We start from the raw sequence: 25009 nt of genomic DNA on the forward strand, positions 1-25009 counted from the left end.
ATCCTGATTTTATCTAACTTTATCACATCAAGTGTTTGATCAGGTTTATTCTTTCTCCTTTCAGGACTGCAAATCACTCTTTTGGTGTAAGTAATAAATATCTGAGACAAGGGCATCACAATTTCTAAACTTCACACTTATTATTTTCTTATGCAGGAAAAATTCTCATGCTTGTAAATATAATGCTAATTGCTTTTTATAATATGTTTTCTGTCTCTAAAAGTAATTCAAGTTATTATAAAAATTTTGAAAGTACATGAATACACAAAGAACAGAAAAACCATCCAGAAACCAACTAAACAATCAATTAAGACTTTGACATATAGACATCTTGAGAATATGCATATATGATATATGCTGTTTTGTAACTCTCTCCTTCCTCTTTTAAAAGTTGTTAATAAAAGATGATACACCATTTAGGATAAAACTTTCACAGCATCATTTTAATGAGTACATAGCATTCATAAAATAGATGCATTGTAATTTATTTAACCACATTCTCATATTGCAGGATGGGCTATTTTCCATTTTTGTTGTAATAAACAATGCTGCAATGAACATTACATACATAAATCTTTATGCACATCCTTAATCATTTCTTTAGGATAAATTACTAGATACAAAATTGCTGTGTCAAAGCTTATGCATATATTATTTATTTACTGTAACCTAGTTTTTAATCATAAAGTGACAAATGCACTTTGAAAACAATTAATACCTAAATGTTAAAAAAAGAAAAGTAAAAATGTGCTTTTACTTGGCATCATAAATTAGAGATAAACACTATTACGTTCTTAAAATTTTTTCTGACAATTCTTTAGTGATAGTCAAGCATATTTAAATAAACACATTTATTCTTTTTATATACAAGGGCTCATAATACATATTCTTTATTGTATTCTTAATTTTTCACTTAATGTACTTCAGAACTATTTACTCATAATTTTTTATCTCTCTTTTTACCTGTTGCATAGTAATTCATAGTATAAGTGTATATTTTATTTAACTAGTCCTTTCTTGATAAACATTTAGGTTATTCTTTTTGCCATTCTAATTCATTTTGTGTTGGACATCCATGTACAACTGTCTTTGCAAACTTTTTAAAGCATATAGATAGAATGGAATTCTAAAAGTGGAATTGATTTGTCAAAGAGTATGTATATAGTTTAAAATTTGGTATGTAGATGAGTATTTTGTGGAGTTTAATATATGTTAGTGTTACTATGTTCTTGGAATGTTATTTCTCATATCTATAATGTAAATGAAACAATGCATTTTGAAGTAAAAAATTATCTCCTCAAAATCATGGATAGCTTTAGTGTTTATTTTCTTGTGATACACACCTATTTTCTGGCTGCACAGAAATAATACTACAATTTAATGATAAAGAGATATTTCTATTTTCAATTAAAATGCTGAAAAATAACAATCTTTTTCAGGGGACTATTGGATTTGCAAACTAAGCTGTGTTATTTAATGACTTAATATAGAGCTTCATGCTATTTTACCCACGGCCACCTTCTATGTACATTTATATAACATAAATAATTGTGGAAATTAGGCAACTATCTGGATAATTTTGTTTATCCATTAAACAAATATTTAATGAGTGTCTACTGTATGCCAACCTCCATTCTAGGTATCAAGAATGTAAAAAAGGGCTGTACAAAAACAACTACCCTCATGGTGCCTATATTTTAGTGATGGAAACAAAAACAAATTAAGCAAGTAAGATATTGCTTAAATTGTGAGACAGCAATTCATGCAAAGAAAAAATAACAAGAAAGGAGAATAAGGAGTTTTGAGTGGGAGGTAATGCAATTCTAATTAAAGTGTTGGAGAAAGCCTCATAGAATGGAGACATCTTTGAGGAGACATCTGAAGGTGAGACAGTTTGATCAATGAAAGCAGGTGTGATGGTCAGTTCAACATGTCAACTAGGCTAGGCTACCACCCCCAGTTATACAATCACACACTAATCTAGGTGTTACTGTGATGGTGTTTTATAGATGGATTAAAGTCCATAATTAGTTAACTCTAAGGGTGGTGATGCTAGATAATGTAGGTTAACCTGATCCAACCAGTTGAAAAGCTTTAAGAGTAGAGATGAGATTTCCCTAAAGATTAAGACATTCTACCTGTGGATAGCAGCTTCACCTGGTGCTGAGAGATTCAGTGTTCCCTTCCTGATGGCATGCCCTGAGTATTTGAACTTGCCTAACTAGGTCTCACAATAATCCAATAGCTTATAATAAATCTCTTCATACATATCTCCTGCTGGTTCTATTTCTGTGGGTAAAGCCTGACAAGATACATTAAGCTTACCAGATAATTCAGTATATCTTTAATTTTATGCTATGGAATATATGAATGGTCAAAATATATATGACACTTAGAATGGTTCTGTCTAACATCAAAATGACCTTTGAATGAGTTCTAACTCTGGACAGTTTCTATTTCCTCCTGATATCTTTCTGGGCACTGTCAACAACTAACAGAACAACTAAACAGAAAATCAGCATGTATGTTAAAAAAACTAAACAACATCATTGTATTAGTCTGTTCTCACTTGCTACAAAGAAATATATGAGACTGAGTAATTTATAAAGAAAAGAGGCTTAATTATCTCAGGGTTCTGCAGACTGTATAGGAAGCATGGTGTCATCAGCTTCTGGGGAGGCCTCAGGGAACATACAATCATGGAGGAAGGCAAAGAGGTGTTTACATGGCCAGAGCAGGAGGAAGAGCAAGAGAGGAGAGGTGCTACACACTTTTAAACAACTAGACCTCTCCATAACTCACTCACTCACTATCACACAAACAGCACAGAGGGGATGGTGCTAAACCATTCACAAGAAACCTCTCACATGATTCAATCACCTCCCACCAGGCCCCACCTCCAACATTGGGGATTACAATTGAACATGAGATTTGGGTGGGGACACAAATCCAAACCATTGCAATCATCCACCAACAAGGTCTGAATAACATTTATAAAACACCAGACAACAGCAGAATACACATTCTTTTTTAAGTTTCAATGAACATATTCCAAAATAGACTTCTCTGGGAGCCATAAAACAAACTTCAACAAATTTAATATTATTGAAATCATGCAGAGGGTCCTTTCTGACCACAATTAAATCAAATTAGAAATCTAATAGGTAGGCCAGGCACGGTGGCTCAAACCTGTAATCCCAGCACTTTGAGAGGCCAAGGCGGGCGGATCACAAAGTCAAGAGATCAAGACCATCCTGGCCAAAATAGTGAAACCCTGTCTCTACTAAAAATACAAAAATTAGCTGGGTATGGTGGCACACGCCTGTAGTCCCAGCTACTCAGGAGACTGAGGCAGGAGAATCACTTGAACCTGGGAGACGGAGGTTGCAGTAAGCCAAGATCATGTCACTGCACTCCAGCCTGGTGACAGAGCGAGACTCTGTATTAAAAAAAAAAATCTAACAGGTAGATAATAGGAAAATCTCCATACACTTGGAAACTAAACAACACATTTCTAAATAGTCTGTGGTTCAAAGATGACATCTCAAGGAAAATTCAAAAACACATTAAACTGAATGAAAATCCAACTGCTATGGTCTGAATGTTTGGCTCACCCCAAAATTTATATGTTTAAATCATCCCCCACCACTCAAGTTTATGGTATTTGGAGGTGGAACCTTTGGGAGATGATTAGATCATGAAGGCAGAGTCCTTGTAGACGGAGTTACTGTCCTTATAGAAGACACCACACTGTGTCCTCACATGAAACTCTTTTAACATGTGAGGACATCGTGAGGAGGCAACATCTATGAACCAGGCAAAGGGGCCCTTACCAGACACTGAATCTGCTGGCACCTTGGTCTTTGACCTCCTAGCCCCAAGAACTGTGAGAAATAAATTTCTGTTGTTTATAAGCTACTCAGCTTATGGTATTTTATTACAGGAGCCTGAATGAATTAAGACAGACTAGTATCTAGAATATATAAGGAACTCTCAAACTCAACAGTTAAAAATTAAACAATCCAATTAGAAAATTGGCAGAGGTATAAACATTTCAGCGAAGAAGACATGCAGATGGCAAGCTAACATGATAGAAGATCTTCAACATCCTTAGCCATTAGGGATGCAATTTAAAGCTACAACGAGATACCACTACACACCTATCTGAATGGCTGAAAGAAAAAATAATGACAACACCAAATACTGATGAGGACGTGGAGAAACGGAATCATTCAACATTGCTGGTGGGAATATAAAAATTGAGCAGCTACTCTGGAAAATGGCTAGGTAGTTTCCTTAAAAATGAATCGTGCAACTTCCATATAACTCAGCAATTGCACTTCTGGACATTTATCTCAGATAAATAAAAACTTACTGTCTCACACACACACAAAAAAACCCCGAACAAACATTTATACTAGCTTTATTCATAGTAGCCAATGGCTGGAAACAACCTGGATGTCCTCTAATGAGTGAATAATCAGACCACAATACATCCATGCCTGGAATATTCCTCAGCAAGAAACAGGAACAAACTATTGATGTATACTACAGCTTCAGTAAATCTTCAGATAATTTTGATGAAAGAAAAAAACCAATCTCAAAACGTTATGTACAGAGTAACTACGTCTTACAATGTCAAATTAGAGAAACGAAGAATAGATCAGTGTCTGTCAAGAGTTAAGGAGGTGGGGTGAGGTGGGGCTGGTGCCTGGTGAGAGAGAAATGTGTGTGGCTATAAAAGGGCAACATGAGAGATCTTTGTGTAATGGAAATGTTCTGTATTTTGACTGTTTCAATGTCGATATCTTGGTTATAATATTATACTACAATCTCACAAGATGTTGCCATTTAGTACAAATGGATAAATGGTAAATGGGATCTCTGTATTATTTCTTACAACTGCATGGGATTTATAATTTTCACAAAATTTAAAAGTTTGATTAAAAAACAAAATTTATAAGATTAATATGCTGTATAATGTTACTTCTTTAGAAGTACTCCATTTCATGAGTGCTAAAATGCTAGTTTTTAAAAATAATTTGTGTAATGTTGTGTTTATTTCAGCATGTATTTTACTAATGAACATTGTTTAATTTGGCACCACTATTTTCTGCCTATTTGAACCCACTCATTTATGTATTAAATATTGTTTCACTTTTCCAATTCCTCCCAACAATATAAATTAATTTTATGCAGAATTTTATTTCTCAACATTACTTTTCAAAGCCAGAATGTTGTTAAGTGTATGCTTCTCTAGAAAAAATTTTATGAAATTTCTGAATTCCAATATAAACTACAAACTAATAAAAGCAGGAACAATCTGAGTCACTACAAATTATTTTGTCCATGAATAGTAGAATAAGGAAAATATAATGTATTATTATATTTACATTAAATATATACATAAATTAAAATATAATGTATAATTATATAAATGCCTAAAGCATTTTTCAATATGAAAACAAAATTAAAATACTTTGAACAAATGACCTTTTTGAATGTTTAATGGATAATCCATGAACACTTGCAGTGACTTTTGATAGTTTGTCAAACAATTTTAATTAAAGTAATTTCCTTATGAGGCAATCACATTGCTCATAAAAATCTGAAATATGTATTGAAGACATCCTAGGGATATACTAATTCAAGTCTATTAGGTAAGAATGACAAAAATAATAGTTACACCAGCATCTGTTCTAGTATCTTTGTTAAGGGTACACATAACTTTTTGTAAAAGGAAGTTTTTCTATGGTTTTCACAAAAATAGTCACATGAACTTTGGCAAATATTATTTTGCAAATGCCACTCTTAAGAGAAGTATGGCTAGCAGTAACCTGACATTTATAACTATTCTAAATAATGCAACAAAAGCATTTTCAAGGTTCATGTGCATCTTTTCATATGCAGACTTTGCAGTTCTCTTTAATAATTTAGCTTGTTTGGACACACCTTACTGAATCATATTTTTTGAGTTGAAAAATATATTACCTTGTGAGTCAGTCAAGCGTTTGCAAAAAGTCATAATCTTGGTTCCCTGCTTTACCTGACCCTGTTTTGGTTTTGCTTGGCTTCTACTATTCTTGATCAGATGTTTGCTAGATCTTTGGCAGGTAATCATATTTGTGGACCACACTCATCTATTAGATATCTGTTCAATTAACCAAAGTAATCATGTAGAGTTTATATAGTTAATTGGCTGAGAATCTGACTTCCTAAAAATTTGATTACTAATATTTCAGATGCTTTTTCTAGATAACCTAGACTCATTCTCGGAAGCTTGAGTCTGACTTTTGCATTCCGGATTCACTTGACTGTGAATCACATAATTTCTTACTCTTTTTCTAGCTTGATAATCTCTGCTTATCAGTTTCCATTCTAAGAATGTATTAATTTCTACAGTGACCTGATTCATGCTGACAATACTGAAAACTAGAATTATTATTATTATTATTATTATTTTTCTGAGATGGAATCTTGCTCTGTCACCCAGGCTGGAGTGCAATGGCGCAATCTCGGCTCACTGCAACCTCCGCCTCCCAGGTTCAAGCGATTCTCCTGCCTCAGCCTCCTGAGTAGCTGGGATTACAGGCATGCACCATCAGGCCCGGCTAATTTTTGTATTTTTTTTTAGTAGAGACAGGGTTTCACCATGTTGGTCAGGCTGGTCTCGAACTCCTGACCTCATGATCTGCCTGCCTCAGCCTCCCAAAGTGCTGGGATTACAGGTGTGAGCCACCGCACCTGGCCTGAAAACTAGAAATTTAAAATAATGAGTAAAAAGTGGAGACTACTTCATTTGCATCTCTGGATCACTATTAAGTTATTGACAAAATGAATACTCATATCATACAATTTATTGTTCTATGTAAATAATAATATCCTATTACATTTTAATAAAACTCATGTTTGCTTTGGTGACACTTTTTAAAACAAAGGTTATAGACAAAATCATGATACTTACAAAAATTTTGGTAAAGGCTCACAGTGTGGCACAGGACATACTGGGAGTTCATATCCCCACTGTCTCACTTAATAGCTGCAGAATCTTAAGTAATTTTCTTAATCTCTTAGATGGGCTAATGCATTTACACCAGTGCTAGGAATATAGTAAATGCTCAGCAAATGAAAGTTCTTCCTATGATTATTCTTATAACTAGTACAATGAGTACAACTAGGATAACTAGTACAACCACTACTCTTTTAAGTACCAGTACTCCACTACTACTTAGACTAGAAGAAAGAGAGAAAAGTAATACTACAGAATGCAAAATAAATAAATAACTGATGAACATCAATAGCTTTATGATAGAAGGCATTATTTAGTGTTCCTTATATTACACTGATATAATTAAAAAGATTGAGATGTTCTTTTATTAGACATTGCTAATCATAAATCCCACTTTGGAAACATTTTCATTTCCCTAGCTCAGTATTCCCAGTGGATACTTTTTTGATTATGATAGTTCAAGTGGTATTTAATGTTGGTTATCATCAAAATGAATTCTTTTGATTTGGAATGGCATTAGTTTAATGGCTACTATATTTCTTGTAATGTAAAATAATGTAGAAAAAGTTTATTTTGCCCAAATGCAGTTGAATGGGAAAATTTCAACTCTAATACACTGCTTAAATACAAACACTTTTGGAAGGAACACTATTATTCAAATTCACAATCAGAAAAAGACATATTTAGGATAAATATTATGTTAATTCTTATTTAAAAAATCACAAACATTCCATGTATATTTGAGTGTGTAATCCCAGATGAACTTTAATCCCTGGATATATCTAATGTGAACTTACCCCCTTTGTTTCCTATTGAAATTGGTTCTAATTAAAAATAAATTACATATTTTTCAACTTTCAAAATATTATTGCCACAAGTTAATTCTCTCTACTGTAGAGAGAACCATACCTACATAGGATTTCCATAGCCACATGGAATTTGATTCTATTGCAGAATTCATTCTATAAACATTTGTTGCATAACTTTTAAATCTGAATTGCTATACAAAACGCAGTTCTGTGTATAGTGCCTCAAGGTAAAGATGATTGTTACACAATCTGCCCTTCTTTTCTGCCACCAGAAGAAGCAGAATTCACTCTCTACAATTTTATTAACGTGTCTTTTTGTCCCTATTTTCTCAAAGTTAGAATTTAAACAAAAGATTCCAAAAATAAAATCATGGAAAAAAGGTTTTTCATGAGATGGATGGAGATGACTGCAATACTATAAAGCTATTGCAATAGCTTTAATTATTCATCAAATGGAAAGTTTCACTACCAAGGCTGCCAAAGACTACAGCATCTTCATAGTGTATTTGCCTCCAAGCTGTACTTCAGTGCACAGAAAGAAGCCACAAATAAATAGCAACATGACTAAAGGGTGTTAAATGTCAAATTTAATTCACTCAACAATTTCTGAATTTCTAGAAAAAGAGTTTAAGAGCTAAGCAATAGGCACTTTTTGTAAGTCTGAAGGTAATCTGTTTCATGTTTGCAAAACAAGTACACTTCCCCATGCAATTCAAACATTGAAAGAAAAATTTAAATATTTAGAAAGCATGTTCTGTACAGATTTAAACCAGCTTTTAGAGTACTGTACATCTCAATTTGAAAATTATTTTTATGTTTTATCCAGGGATATATAATTAACAGATGCCATTCTTCATTATAATATCTAAATATTTTTAAATTGTTGGCAATGTTGGGATTTAATGTAACATACATATGTGAGATGACTTAGAATAGATGAAATATAGGCGATTAAATCACTGAAGTAACAATAACAGATCAAAAGATATGTAACAAGGAAGAGATTCATGTAATCTTTAAAATGAGTTTTCCACTGACAATATAATAGAGATTGCAATTTATGGAGTTTTAAAGTAAGAGTATTTTTAAATCTCTTTACTGAATTACTCAACGCAAGTCTTTACAAATGCAAAAGCATAATGCCAATTACAACTTAATGTACATATATCAATGAAGAGTTAAAGTAGTATAGGCCTGGTCACCTAATTTTTTAACTTAGTACAGAGATTTAGCTACCTGAGTCAATGTTTCTCAGACATCATTAAACATAAGTATTACCCAGAAATTTGTCTAGCTCCAAATACACTATATTTTGATACTATATTTTGGTACTATATTTTGATTTAGTGAGGACCAGGAAGCTATTTAAACTAATTCTCCAGGAAATTCTGAGGAAGTTGTTCAAAGGAGGAGTCTTCTAGACTATCCCTCTAATAAATATGTTATATTTCATGATCTAAGATGCCACCAATTATAATATGGATCCTTAAGTATTTCTAAAAAAGAAAACTAAATAGTGTCAATTATACAGTCTAAGTATAGGATGAATTTTAATTTTAGGGAAATTAAAATATGTTCATCTTGAGATTGTTGAAATACCATATTACTTCTCTCTACTAAGTTTGTTTTGACATCAGTTGAATAGCAGATTAAACATTAAACTCTCTAATAAATGTCTGATTCAATCAAATTTATTTTATTTACATTCTATACTCTGTGCCAAGAGTTTTGATAGGCATCTGTTCTTACTATCTTTTGCTGAATTAAAAGCAACAACAACAACAACAAAACCCCAAAACACTACCCCAAAACAGGATCTTTAAGCAGTAATTTATTATTATTTTACTTTGTTCTGTGAATTGATTGGGCTTAGCTGGGCAATTCTCACTTGAGATGTCTCACACAGTTACAGTCAAATGCTGGCTGGAGCTACACACTGTCAAATTAAGGCTCAAATAAGGCTGGACTTCCAAGGTTGCTCATTTACAGTGCTGGTGGTTGACACTGGCTATTGGCTTAAAAGTCAGCTGAGGATTTTAACTGGAGTACCTACCTTGGCCTCTCTTTGTGGCTTGGGCTTCATAGCAGGCTGTTAGTTTCCTGAGAGGGAGAATTCCAAGAGCAAATGTTTCAAGAGGCTCAATCTGAAGTTCTTCTGACCCAGCCCCTGGTCATTATGACCATAGTATCACCTCCACTGCATTCTGTGGGTCAAAAGTGAGTCACAATTAGTTTACAGTCAAGGAGAGGAGACTGCATAGGGTGTGACTATCAGGAACCATGGCTCACTGGAGCACCATCTTTGGAGTCTAGCTAACACAGCATCTTGGTATGTAATCTAATTTAGTCTTAATTAAAACTTCTAGAAGATATTGTGTTAGCCAAATGGAGCTGGTTCTTTTGATAACTCTCAGAAAATGACCCATTTCAAGAATAGTGAGCTCTTTACATAATGAGTTAGCTTAATCCCTGACAATTTTTTTTTTAAAGTTTGCCCTTTATTCTTTCTTTCTTTTCCTTCTTGTTGCCCAGGCTGGAGTGCAATGGCATGATCTTGGCTCACTGCAACCTCTGCCTCCTGGATTCTCCTTGTCTACCATGACCAAACTTCAGGCTTCATTCATTCTCCTGCCTCAGCCTCCCAAGTAGCTGGGATTACAGGCGCCCGCCACCACGCCCGGCTAATTTTTTGTATTTTTAGTACAGATGGAGTTTCACCATGTTGGCCAGGCTGGTCTCGAACTCCTGACCTCAGGTGATCTGCCTGCCTCGGAAGGTTGCCCTTTCTATTGTCACCTGCTTAAAGGCAAGCTTTTGCGTTTTCAGCCTGATTGATCAGTGAAACATCTTGAATGTAAAAAAGTCATTTTGAGCTCCCCATAATTCCTCCACCTTCACGCCACATACTCCTTTTTTTTTTATTGGTCTCTCCCCCTCCTCCCTTCCCAGACAGCTAGAACCAAGCAGGGAAAAATCAAGGGTCATTTTAAAATTAAATTATCATGCTTCATTTGGAAACCACAAAAAGCACCTACATGGCATATCAATCAACTTTTGATGAGCTACTGTGTACCAATAATGTGAAAAGTACTTTATGTGTCCTGTCTAATCAAATCTCCACAACAAATCAGTGAAGCAGATACTATCATCCTCATTTTTATGAAGAAACTAAGGCAAAGAAAGAGAAGCAAGGGATTTTTCAAAAACCTAAAAAAATTGTTAGAAAATTATTATTATTATTATTATTATTATTATTATTATTATTTGGAGACAGAGTCCCACTGTGTTGCCCAGGCTGAAGTGCAATGGCATTATCTCGGCTCACTGCAACCTCCATCTCCTGGGTTCAAGCAATTCTCCTGCCTCAGCCTCCCAAGTAGCTGGGATTACAGGCACACACTACCACACCTAATTTTTGAATTTTTGATAGAGGTGGGGTTTCACCATCTTGGCCAGGCTGGTCTCGAACTCCTGACCTCAGGTGATCTGCTCACCTCAGCCTCCCAAAGTTCTGGGATTACAGGCATGAGCCATCACATTGGGCTTATCATAGAGAATTATATCCAGTGGTGTCTACATGAATACATATGTGCATCTATCTCACAGTGTATGTTTGAGCTTTGACTCAGTTGATGCTGAACTGTTCTTTCTCCTAGCAATTGATCAATATTTCCAGTTACTTTCTAAGGCAGTTCTTGATTTATGATAACGTAATTTAAAGCTGTTATTTGTCGCCTCAATGACTCCCTTCATGCTGGCACCTGCCCTGCTTATTTTTAAACTTTTACCTAGTTTTTGCCTGTATTTGGGTACCCGTCCCCAACTTGTATATTCAAGCCCTAAGCCTAATGACTTCCCCATTCTAGCTCTTCCTCCTTTCCATGTTGACTCAATTACATTGAAATTACCCAGTGAGGATCCTTCCTGCCTGCCACAAGTTGCCCGACCCATGACACTCCATAAAGGCATTGGCTCATGGGTCCTTGCTCTGATTTCTCCTTGTCTACCATGACCAAACTTCAGGCTTTTGGGTGACTGGTGTGGATTACAGGCCATGCAGTGCCTCCCTGTCTGGGACCTTTAACCTCATACGCTTCACCCTTTAATCTCATATGCCTCTCCAAGGGTAATTTTCACAGCTTTGTTGGAGTGATCCTTGCAGACTCCACAACAGGGACCTACTTCCTCATTTACAATGAAGTTAGTAAGCTGTTTGTTATATTAGAAGAAGCAACTTGTCTTCCTGTTGCTGCTGTGGCAGAGAAAATATATGCAGCTCCTCTCAATGAAGTATTAGATTGTCCAAATAATCTTAAAAGAGGAGGTAGAATTTAGCCTTGTCTTTTGCTGCTTAAGAACAGATTTTGCTATGCTAAGATTCCAGTCTTACCTATTCTACACATGTAGCAATATAATGTTACAATCTCAGAGACAATATCATATGTCAATGTAATGGGACTTATGGTGAAATCTAAGAGCTTATCCCAAAGGTAGTACTGTCTAGAAAATCAAAGACTAATCAATAAATTAATGTCACACAGCATTATGCTATATTTTCCAGAATATTTCCTACATTTGCTTGCTTTTCATGGCAGTTTTTTTGCAGCTTTTGCAGATTTACGAAAAGTTATATAGAGCTTAGATGAATTTACTGCAGCGAGTCGGGTGTGAAATTTTGGGATAAAAAAAGAGTTGGTCTTTCTGAGCAATTTGCTGGAGATGAGGACAGTTCCTCTCTGGACAGTGTCAGTTTGTCTTTCAACTGAGCTGAACTCCTTTAAGCATGTTATATCCACATCAGACAATCAACCATCATGCTTTCTCTCTTTGTGGTAACCTGTAAGACTTTATCATACCCCCAGTATGATTTAGGTCCCAGCAGAAAAATACCTAGTGTAATCTAAAAAGTAACTGCCTGAGATTTGCAGCTGACTTAGAATTCTGAGCTATTTTCCTCATTTTCAGATTCAACAAATGCTCTTTTTATGCACAGCTACTGTGTGTAAACAATGATCACCTTTGCCATCAAAGGTCTTACCATCTGGGGGAAATACATAGAAATAAGCAATGAAAATTATGGGAGGTCAAGTACTGTATGATAGTACAAAGTACCGGGGGAACACAAAATACTCCCCCAGTATTTGCATTCTGAAGACACCTTCCCAGCAGAAACTACTTCTAAAGCACAAACCTGCAGAAAAATTAAGAGTGAAAGGGATTTGTGGGAAGAGTGTCCCAGACAGGGGAACCAGTTTATGCAAAGACTTACCCATGAATGAGGAAGAAGACGGTGAACATGTAGAACTGAGAAATGATTAGCTTGACTATAACACAGAAAGTAGGGGGTGAAGGTGAGAGTTAGTGCTGGCGATATTAGCAAGGGCCATGTCATGTATCTATGCTAAGTATTTTGAACTTATGCTGAAGGCAAGGGGTGCCAATGAAACTCTTTAAGTGAGGGAAGAAAAACTGGGCTTCATAATGAATAAATGAGTTCCTCAAATGGTAACTTGGGGAGTAGAATTGTAGGTGGGGAAGAGGATAATGACTTAAGACAAAGCAGCCTCTGAAAATGCTTTCAGGACAATTAACTGATGAGCCAAGTGCATGCTTTGGGAGCAGAGTGTTCATTCATTCATTCATTCATTCAACAGAAATGTATTGTTTACCTACTCTATATCAAAGACTACTCAAGTCATTAGCAGATATAGCAGTGAACAAACCAGACCATATCTTTGCCATCATAGAGTTTATTTATATAAATGAATATATGCCAAGTATTTGTCCTCTAAGAAAAATAAAACACTATTAGAAAATGGAGACTGCAGGGAGGAAGGTGTGATTTTGTAACTGGTGGTCAGGGAAATGTTCACACCCCGTCTGTTACTTTTCTCTGGATGCTTCTTGTCTGAGAAAAAAAGTTACAATGTTTGTTTACCTATTCATTCAATATTCCTTTAATGCCTCTGTGTACTAGGGACTCTGTAAGGCCTTGTGGCAGTGCCATGGCAGGTAGAGAGGCAGGAAAGCTCAATACAGCAGTACTTTGTAAGCCATGTTAAAGGTTAAAAGTTTGGATGTTTTTCCTAGGAACAATGAAAGTCATTGTGATGTTTTAATTAAGAATTCCATGTGATCATGTTTGTATTTTTAAAAGATCATTCTGACTATAGTTAGAGGAATGAATTGATTAACAGGGCTTAAATAGGTTCTCTTCAACTGAAGGGAAAAGAATAGATTTTCCTTGCTTAGCTACTAGTAGTGATGGCTAAACTTCCTTTCTTTCAAGGAAAAGTAATACTTTTTGTTTTACTATGATAAAAGGTCTTTATTCATTTTCAGAGTCATAAACAAATTTCCTATGAATACACTTTTTCCTCTTGAGTGCAGAATTTTTTGTGAAGGCTAAGACGTGAATGTATTAACTGAGTGAATTTATCAAAGAAATTCTAACATGTCATTTGCTAATTGAGGGACTTTTGCATCTAACAAAGAGTAATATCTTTATACAAGACATTTGATTGGCAGCAGAAACACACATTTTATTATTTAAAATGCACCAGACACACTTTTATTTCATGGCTAAACACCTTTCTTATTCATGTTTTATGTAAGTGGAATTTCAAAATATTTGTTTATATAGCATTCTGCAAAGAAATATCCTAATACAGATTTGGCCATATTAAAAAAAAAAAATGCCTTATGTGCCATATTGCTCAGAAGGCATGTTTATGAATAAGTTTTCAAAGCTCCATATGCACAAATATGAAATACAAAGTCTTCCTCCAAATAGTAAGAATATAGCCCCATTCTACATTTGCTGGTTTATACTGCTAACATTTATCTGCATCTCCATATCCCAAGATTTGCAAATCAGATAATTCTGTTGCATTATGCCGCCAAATATAAACAGCTGGCTCTCTTTGGCGAGCAGAATATCACCTGAACATTTAATGCAGCCCTTCCTCTAGGATACCTTTCATCATCAGAATTTAGGGAAGCACAGTTGCTTGGCATGTTTCAAATGTACTATTCTCTAGAGTTTTACAGCTCATGGATTCTCTTGATAACTATAATAACAAGAGACATGACAAGGACAAGATATTAATATTAAGCATTGTGAATGAAATCTTATGAACCTGTGAGTGGGACATTTCAGGGAAGCCCTCCGAAATTTTAAATAGGCAGTTTAATATAGTGATACCATCTTAAATTATTTTCAAGTGGAATAAAATTCAGTCATTGGAGTTTTGAGGAGCCACAGTGTATACAAATACATAATAGGGAGAGTTTCTCCATCAATCCATATATGGAACACATTTATTTTATTTTTCCAGAATTAGAAAAAATATTTACTAGCTTACGTTCATAAAGTTACAGGTGAAAACACAAAAATAAGAAATCAGGACTAATTTGGAAAAGAAATGATATGAATGAATATAAGAACAAGAGATATCAATGTTTACCACCTTGTACCCCGGCCATGTGACACTTGGCTTCAGGCTTTGCTTGTCTTTTTGTTCACCCATGGTCTAGGCCAGTGCTGTCCAATAGAACTTTCTACAGTGAGAGAAATCTTTCATATCTTTGTTGTTCAAAATGATGCCTGCTAGCCACTTGTGGCTATTGAACATATAAAATGTGGTAAGAGCAACCAAAGAAATGCATGTTACATTTTATTTAATTTAAATTAATGGAAACTTTAAATCGTGCACCCAGATAGTGGCTATCACATTGAACATGTGTGTCTAGGCCATGAGAAGAGTCTTTCTGCAACTGGAACATAATGCAGAACTCGGTCTATAGCCACTCTGGCCCATCTCCACAGGAAGGCACAGAGGCTGAGACCTACACAAAGTGGTAGTTCTAGACTCCTTTGTCAGTTATCTTAGGATGGGTGACAGCCAGTCAGGCTGGGGAAGACTCCTGAGAACCGTTACTCATTCTAATGACTACTTGGAAGTGGTGATAGCCTAGATGAAGAGAATATTTTAGCTACCCAAAAGAGCAATAATCATTATCTTGACTGAAAATCAAATGTTTCACAGGGAAAATATGATTAGAAGAAAGAAATTTACTGTTGATGTTATAAATATAATTTTATGATGTTTCAAAATGTTTGTTTTTATACTGACAATTATGAATTATTTATATTACTGCAAAGACACTAACAGCTTTGAGCTTTCCTCATTTATTTTAATCCTAAAGGGTAAACCTATATGTCAAAGTAACTTTTATCAATTATTTTAACAATTCTTTTGTTCTCCAAAGCAACTTACATGGAAATTACCTACTTGAAATATGAGTGACCCTGCCCTGTCTCCAAAAAGAAAAAAACAAGCAGATAAAAATCAATAAACAGCAAGAGTAAAAATAAAAATTGTTTAGGGGAACAAGATTCTCTTACAAATCATAATTGCTAAAATGTACTTGAGATATTTATCAATAATAAAACTAAATTACCATAAAAGCTAACATGTACTGAGTATATTCTATATGCCTGACACTAAAAGGGTTGATGTGGATTACATCCTTTAATAAATCTACAAAATGGGTGTTATCATTACTTCCATTTTGCAAAGCAAGATGCTGAGACTTAGAAACAGGAAGTAATGCTTCCAAATTCACATAGCAAGTCAATGGAGTGGCCAGAATCTGCATCTAGGTTTGCACAAATCTATTTTTAGCCAATTACATGGAAAATTCAGAAAATCTAAATTGATTTCATTTGATGTCATAGATAGAATGAAAAGTTTCCATAGACTGTGGCTTTTCCCAAAGAAACCAAATTGACAACAGAAAATACATATAAGTTTATACATATTATGAAGCAACTTACTGTTAAGTTATAAGTGATACTTTTTTTGCATATAATTTGAGTTTAATAGACCGAATTTGTGCCGACGAAATCTATTTATTACTGCAATTGTGATATAGTGCTAGAAAATCTGTAGAGTCCAAGGGAGTGTTTTGGCTGCCATTGTCATTTAAGCCTCTGATTTGCTTTGGAGAGCTGGAGGGCACTGTGTGTCCCCTTGCCAACTTGGCCAGGTGCATGAGTACATCTCTAAAATAAATGTAGAACTACTTTCACAGGAATTGAAAAAATGTTTCCTAGATTTCTTTTGACAAGAAGTCATTATCAGTTGCTTTGGGGAAGAGTTGCAGAAGCTTCATGAAAAGTATCAGGCCGTTATTTACTTTTCATACTGCAAGCCTTGGTCTGAAAGGGCAGACAGATAATAATACCTTTTGCTCATGAAGAGCAAGTCTCACTGTGACCTGCAGCCACTTTGAAAAACACAGAACTGAGCTCAGAACATGGATTTTATTGTAGATGTTGTTCTCATTTATTACCTGTTTGAGGTTTTGATTCTGCTGGCAACATTGGCCTTATAATACTATATATGTATGATATTATACCATAATACCATATACCATATACCAATACCAATACCATATACCATACCAATACCAATACCATAGGTTGTGTGCATGTAGTCCCAGCTACTTAGGGGGCTGAGGTGGGAGGACTGCTTGACCCAGGAAATTGAGGCTGCAATGAGCCATGTCATACCACTGCACTCCAGCCTGAGTGACAGAGTGAGACCTTGTCTCTAAAACACAAAAATTGTTTGTAGAAATGGGGGTCTTGCTATGTTGCCCAGCCTGGTCTCAAACTCCTGGCCTTAGTGATCCTCCTGACTTGGACTCCCAAAGCAATAGGATTACAGGTGTGAGCCACCACATCTGGCCAGAAGATACTTTAGTGGAACCAATCTGGGCTGGTAACAAACCACTTACATTGTGTGTGTGTGTGTGTGTGTGTGTGTGTGTGTGTGTGTGTGTGTGTGCCTTGCAATCATTACCAAAAATTTTTTTTCTTTTTACAACAACTTCTTGTCCAACAGACCTTTCAATCATTTTTAAATGTACAATTTAGTGACATTAAATAAGTACATTCATAATTTTGTACAACCAGTACCACTCTCCACTTCCAGAATTTTTCATGATTTCAAACAGAAACTCTGTACCCATTAAACAACAACTTCCCATTTCTCCTGCCCCTCGTAATCATATTTAAAAAATACAGAAAACTAATCAGATCAATGTCATATATAAGGATGTTCAGACTATCTTTGGCAATAGCAGTAGAAACGTAGAGGTTCCCAAAACGCTGTAGAGAAGACTGCAAAATTTCCCTCTGTTTCTGTTTACCAACACCAATCATGAATCTGAAAGTGGCCTGACTTAAGAGTAAGGAACATTATGAAACATAGGTGGAACATGTGTAATGGTAAGTTCCACCTGTCCTCTTTTCTCCAAAAACTTGGAAGAGGAAAACTCAGGTTGAATAAGAGCAGAGGCAGAATGGTTCTCATGTTAGAGATAAGTCTTAATCAAAGAGGGAAAAGGGCAAAAATAAGTTCTCAAGTAGAGAGAGAAAAAACGCCTAGTTAATTAATGAGGTCTTGTGTCCACTTGCATATCCTTGTAGTGGAGTCAGATGTACCAACTCACAGCTCACATGGTAGTCATTGTGAGAAGGATAAGCACATCACATATCACATATCCTCACATATCATAGAAGATAATGTAACAGAACATCTGAATTATATAACTAACTTTATTTTGATTCCTTTATTTTCAGGATGCACTCCTAAGAGAAGACTACCTGAAAGGCGTGTACACTGGTCTAGCAGTTGAGATCAGCTAGTGTTCCATCTATCTTCTGTCATGTGTGAGTATAATTTTCAAGAGTTAAACTCAGCTTTAGGGACACTGGAGCTCTAGTTTCAGCAAAATTCACAATCAACCTCTGGACATGGTAAAATTACCAAGTTAATGTCACTCTGTGAAGTCTCTCAGTGGGTAGGCATCTGGCTTTTCTTTGACTACATTAACTTGTTCATATGCTTTTGAAAAATATCTGTATAACTCATAAATACACAAATCCAGTGGTGTGTGTGTATGTGACAAGTGATGCTGCAAATTGTGGCAAGGTTTCCTCTCACCTTTGTGCCACATTTCTTAAGAGTAAATTTCAATATTGATTTCGACCTCTTCTCAATTACCTAATTTTGGCTCTCTTCCTTTCCATGATCTGGGCATGTCATTATTATTCTTTCAATGCCCTCTACTGGACCAGAAATTTTGTACTGGGTGAACATTACTTCAATGCTGTCCTATCAATTATGTTCAAGGACTTCGGTATTGATGATATGATTTAACCTCAATATGTATTAATTACAGCACAGGCTTGGGATGGGGAAGAGAAGATCATTGCTAAAATATTCAAAACTTTTGTACATTTTTTATAGGTATACAGAGCATACATTGTAAACCATTAGTTGAGGTTTTGGGTTGATAAATTTTTTTTCTACCACTTTTGATCAGTTTCTTAAGTCATACAACTTTCAATATTCACAATTTGATGAGTTAATTACTAGGTTATTATTTGTTAATGTTACCTGTATGACAGAATCTAAGGGAAGAATGCATTCTTGAAATTCAAATGGAAACCTTAAGATTACTTTGGGATATGTCTGGTATATATGTTTTTAATGTAACCTGATTCTATGTCAAAAATTTAGCCATTAATTTTATATTTATGTAACTTAAATCAAGATATTTTATTCTATATAACTTGGATATAATTGTATATTATGGCTGTAACTCTGTTGGAACTTTAGTTTTCAGAGATAGCATTCTTATAGATTTTGCACTTCCCTTTTCATTCTCAAAATCAACCTGATTACTCTAAATCCATCTCTCATTTAAAAATTAACATTCTCTCCAAAATTCCCCTATTTCAATGTAAAAGAGTCATCTTTGCTATCAAGAAATTCCCACTTAACTGGTCAAGACAGAAAGGTAAACAAATTCAGGATGGGGCAGTGGTGAAAACACTATGACAGAGTTTGAACAGAGTACAGAGGACCAACAGAGGACAAGCTGCATAGCTCTCTTGTGGGGACAGCAGCAATACATAAAAATACCTTCAAATAGGAGGTGATGCTGGAGCTCAATTTTAAAGGTTACCATGTTTGCCTGTTGGGCAGCGTGGTAGTCATTGTGAGAAGGGTAAGTACATTAGAACATAGATAGCCAATAACTGTGTAGAAAAAAATAATTGCTGTCATCTTCTATGTTCTTACAGTATTCAATACTTCCAGAACACTTTACTTCTGATGCCAGATGTGGCAGGGTGGGGGCGAGCAGGGAGGTGGTGAGTAGTAGTTCCATACCAACCAATTCTCCAAAACCAGCTGGAGGCCCTGTAACTCAATTTCCTTCTGACACCATCTACCTGGACTTTGTACAGACCCCTCAGGTTAAGGGCTCAGTTCCTCAAAGCTGCACCCTACTTCAGACACAAGTCACAAGTCCACGTTGTCACCAGTTTATCTGACCATCTGACTATGAATCAGATGTTCTCACAACCCACTCCTCAGGTTGATCATTTTGCTAGAATGGCTCACAGAACTCAGGGAAACACTTACCTACATTTACCAGTTTATTATAAAGGATATTACAAAGGATCCAGAAGAATAGCCAGATGAGGAGCCACACAGGGCAGAGTTTGGAAGGGTCCTACATGCAGGAACCCCTCTCCCAATGGGGTTGTGGTGCACCACCCTCTCAGCACATGGATGTGTTCACAAGCCTGGAAGTTTCCCAAACCATCTTTTAGTGGTTTTTATCATCATATAGACATGATTGATTATCAACTCAATCTCCAGCTCCTCTTCCCTTCCTGGAAGATGGGGGTGGGGTTAAAAGTTCTAAACTTCTAATCATGGCTTGGTCTTACTGGTGACAAATCTCCATCCTGAAACTATCCAGTAGGCTGTCAAGAGTTGCTTCATTTAAAAAAAGATGCTCCCATCACCCATAAGATTTTGTAGCTCTGCATCAGGACCTGGGGCCATTGTATTGTGCAATACGGAAGGCAGATTAAATTATTTGAGGCATCTCTAGGAGTAAAATGTTTTTAAAATATGCATTGTAATAAAACTTTGTTCATTATTAGTATAATTAAATAAAGCTTTATAAAACATCTTAGACCTTAAATTAAATCATCAAAGCCCTTAAAGATAAATCTGTTATCTTTTTCACTATTCATTGATTAATTCAATAGAAGGCATAATATTTCACTCATGCATTGTTTCTCCACTTTAAAATATAGTCTTATTTGTATAAACAGAGCCATATTTTTTGATTGACAGTTGTAAATATTTTTAAAATTCATTTTTGAGAATGGCATTTGTCGTGGTTAGGACTACTTCCTTGTCAAGATTCAGCAACTCATCTTGCAAATGATACAGTATTTTTGAAGAGCTTTATCTCATCAAATGTTGTTAAAATGTAAATAAAATAAATAAAATAAAATTTGGATCCATGGGGTGCCTCTAATAGCTTTTCCTCCTTGACAAGGAGCTAATTTGAACTTCAACTAACCAGCTGATTTTTATAAGGTTGCAGAAACTGACAGTTATTTTTCCAGTGATGCTTGCCAGTGTTCTATCTCACTTTAATTCCAGAGTCAGTGGGCAATACCCATATCTATGAATTACATGTTAAAAAGGGATTTATGAATTATGGATGAACTGGGACAGTTATTGGTATTTAAAGGCATCCTACTTCATGTTGAATATTAATAGAAATGAAAGACTGGAGAAATATAGTTACCAAAAGCATTAATATTTCAAAACAGGGTAGCTTCTTGAAGCCATGGGATATTAGAATAAAAGTTAAAAGAAATTATAGTTAATTCGTATAGTGATAATTTCTATAACAATAAAGAATAAAGATGAGAATTCACCATCAAAGGCTTTTTATTATTATTCAATTAGGAAAAGTCTAATCTGGACATTAAATAAAAAAATAGTTAAGTAAAAATTGTGACAGTGCCTATTGTCTCATGGTTTGTTTTTTTTTATGGTAGCTAAAAGGAAGACTATGTGACAATATGCAATGTAATCAGAATGTAATTTAATATTTTAATTCTAAGGGGCCAAGTCACTCATAAGAAAATAGAAAAAATTATCACACAATACTTGTATGATGACACCATCATTATTTCTTTTCTTATTTACACTAGTTAAGTTGATGCAGAGTGAAGGCAACTAGCCCTCTGCCTCTTAAGGATTAAGCTCTTACTTCCTAAATTGGCATAATCACAAAAAGCAAATTAGTCCTTTTAAAAGGCTATAAGGAATTGGATCTTGCTCACCAACTCACAAGAAACTAATAAACCTGCGTATGAATATACAGTCATGGATTACTGTGTAATGAGAAATAGAAAAGAAATACCAAGAAGACTAGATATCTGTGCTGACTGAAAAGCACGTTGTATTCCCAGTAGGAATGTCATGTATTATTTATTCATCAAATGTGTATTGACGTCTGATTTATACCAGACATTGTGCCAGACACTGAGATGAAAAATCAAACAGGGAATAGTCTCCACCGTCAAAGAGCTTATTGACTAGTTGGAAAGACAGCCAAATAAAAATAACAATTATAGCGGTGTGAAGAGAAGACAATTCCAAATCTGAATAGGGATCTGGAAAAGCTTCCCTGAGGGGGTGAAACAAAGTGGGATCAAAAGTAAGTAGAATTAGCTAGTTGAAGAAAAGAATTAGGCAATCCTGTACTCTCTGGTTTCTGTACCTGTGCAATGGCATGGCACTCATTCAAGGCAAGAGATCCCTGCATGATGGGTATGGCTGTGGAGAGCTGTTGCTCAGCTCTCTGGCTATAAATTTCTCTCTGCTCTGGATTCCATCCATCATTATGCAACTGTGTGTGCCACACACTGTACTAGGCACTGGGTATTAAGTAGTGAACAAAATAAAAATCCATAGAGCTTAGAATTGATGTCAAAATACCCTCCGTTGACCCATGTACTTCTTCAAGTACTCTCCCATTTCTTTTATTTTTCTTTCTTTTTCTTTCAGAGTCTCCCTTTGTCTCCCAGGCTGGAGAGCAATGGTGCCATCATGGCTAACTGCAATCTCTGCCTCCTGGGTTCAAGCAATTCTCCTGCCTCAGCCTCCCTACTAGCTGGGATTACAGGTGCCCCCCACCACGCGCAGCTAATTTTTGTGTTTTTAGTAGAGACTGGGTTTGACCATGTTGGCCAAGCTGGTCTCGAACTCCTGACCTTAGATGATCCACCCGCCTCGGCCTCCCAAAGTGCTAGGATTACAAGCGTGCCCAGCCTACTCTTCCATCTCTCCACTAAACTTGTTCATACTTCTACAACCATTTCTACTGTTTCTTCTGTCATTCTTTTCTTATCTACTCAAATCCCTTCACCCTACTCTTGATGTCATAACAATCTCCGTGTGTCAAAACCAGTGGCCATGTCACTATTCTTATCCCATTCAAACTCTCAGCAGAAGGAGGCATATTTACCTACCCCTCCTCTTTAATACTCTTTCTTATTTTGGCTTCAAGGACAGAACATTCGTTTTCTTTTTCCTCCCTGGTTTCTCCTTCTTCATCTACCCTGCTGGTCTTGCTTTGTCCCGTCTTCTAATGTAGTGCTGTTGGTCAATCCTGATTCTCACCCTCTTTTTTCCCTACTTATCCTACTTTTCTTTCTTAGTTCTTCTCTTTTCTGTCCCTGAGGAATGTGTGATCCTCATTTTTGAAACCATCAACTTGGGGACATAGTAAACAATTTAAGAGGAACAATGTCAGGATTAAATTGACATTTCAAAAAGATTATTTCACAATCTCCTAGATGGATTTCTTGGTGTATATGCATGACTAGACAGAGTAAAGATAGTGAAATAATCTTAATCATAAAAAATGGAGATGTAATGGCTAAGTGCTTGGGAATATTCCTACTTGCTGCTCAGGGAACCCTTCTCACTGGAACAAGTGCAAAGTAAACTGAAAAATTATTTTGCTTAGTCTCCTTTCTTCTATATTTTGTACGTTATAGAAACTTTCTGTTTTAAGGAGATTATAACTAATAACTTCATAGCTCACCTTGGTGCACCTATATTCTATAGATCATGACTATCTCCTTGAAGCATCTTAGTCATCCTGGGGTAGGCACAGATATATCATCATCCTATTATAATATTACAAGCCTTTTTATTGAGTGATGATTTCTAAGAATGTTAAACTGATTTTAAAGTGTTATTTTCTAATTTATTTAATAGGTCCTAAGAATATTTTGGAACTTCTCATCACCCTATGCCTGATTATCTAAACTCAATGTACTTGTAACCTAATATTTATTTTGAATCCACCGCATCAATGTGAGGGCATCAGTCCTGGGATGTGGTAGCTTCTGGGTTTTTAGACAGAAGTGTCCTATAAATAGTGCCATCTTTAGTACAAGATAGTATAAAAAGAATAGCAATTTTCTGAACATAGATGACACTGTTCTAAGTGTTCCACTGTATTAATCCACTTAAACTCCATACAAATTCCTGAGAGAAGTTAGTTTCATTATGTCACAGAGCTAGAAAGGCCCACGGTCGATCTCCAGAGCCTGCAGTCTTAATCACCAAACTACACTACAATGGTAGATTTATGGTATGAGAACAGCTCCAAACTTATGCCATTAGAATTGAACACATTGTGGTGGCCTTCTTTTATTATTATTATCACTGATGAGGCTAAATATGTGTCTCAGGCAGCTAGACCTAAGTGACAGAGAAAAAACTGAATAGGGATTTACCCCTTATTTTCCCACCTATCTGAAATTCTGCATAGCTCATAGCATTTTGTCATTCCCTGCACTGGACCATACCCACCTGTTACAATTTAGACACTGGAGAAGGATAAGCAGTCTCGTATTTAGCTATGAAATTACACAAGGTAAAATATTACCAGCTTGGGGTGGACCTTACCAATATGTATAGCTAAAATTGGATCATTCAGCTCCTCCTAATTTAGTGTGCACCAATGAAGGATTTTTATCAATGAATTATTTGCATAATTATTTTATTTCTACTATTTAATATGACTTTATGTAAAGACACATAAAAAAGAGGCACTGAAAGTAGAAACATTAACTTGAGTCAATTACTTGACTATCTCCAATGAGAGAAATATATTTTAGAATAATAAATTAGTTAATTATGGCTTCATCCATATGACCTTCCAACATCTACCATTTTGGAGACGACTGATTTTCTCATCTTTGCAGATAATAAAACTTTTT

At 35.5% G+C, this 25009-nt stretch overlaps 2 long non-coding RNA genes across 2 annotated transcripts in view; one reads left to right on the forward strand and one right to left on the reverse strand.

Moving 5' to 3' along the window:
- Positions 1-9938, reverse strand: part of LINC02466 (long intergenic non-protein coding RNA 2466) — a 47308-nt gene extending 37370 nt beyond the window's left edge. The window contains exon 1 of the long non-coding RNA NR_110753.1: positions 9872-9938. This is a non-coding gene — a long non-coding RNA (long intergenic non-protein coding RNA 2466). The remainder of the gene's footprint in view (positions 1-9871) is intronic.
- Positions 9939-10078: 140 nt separating this feature from the next.
- Positions 10079-25009, forward strand: part of LINC02465 (long intergenic non-protein coding RNA 2465) — a 183750-nt gene continuing 168819 nt past the window's right edge. Inside the window, exons 1-2 of the long non-coding RNA NR_151713.1 lie at positions 10079-10147; positions 18470-18559. This is a non-coding gene — a long non-coding RNA (long intergenic non-protein coding RNA 2465). The remainder of the gene's footprint in view (positions 10148-18469; positions 18560-25009) is intronic.

This window comes from Homo sapiens, chromosome 4, assembly GCF_000001405.40.
Source record: "Homo sapiens chromosome 4, GRCh38.p14 Primary Assembly".
In the NCBI taxonomy this organism is placed as follows: domain Eukaryota; kingdom Metazoa; phylum Chordata; class Mammalia; order Primates; family Hominidae; genus Homo; species Homo sapiens.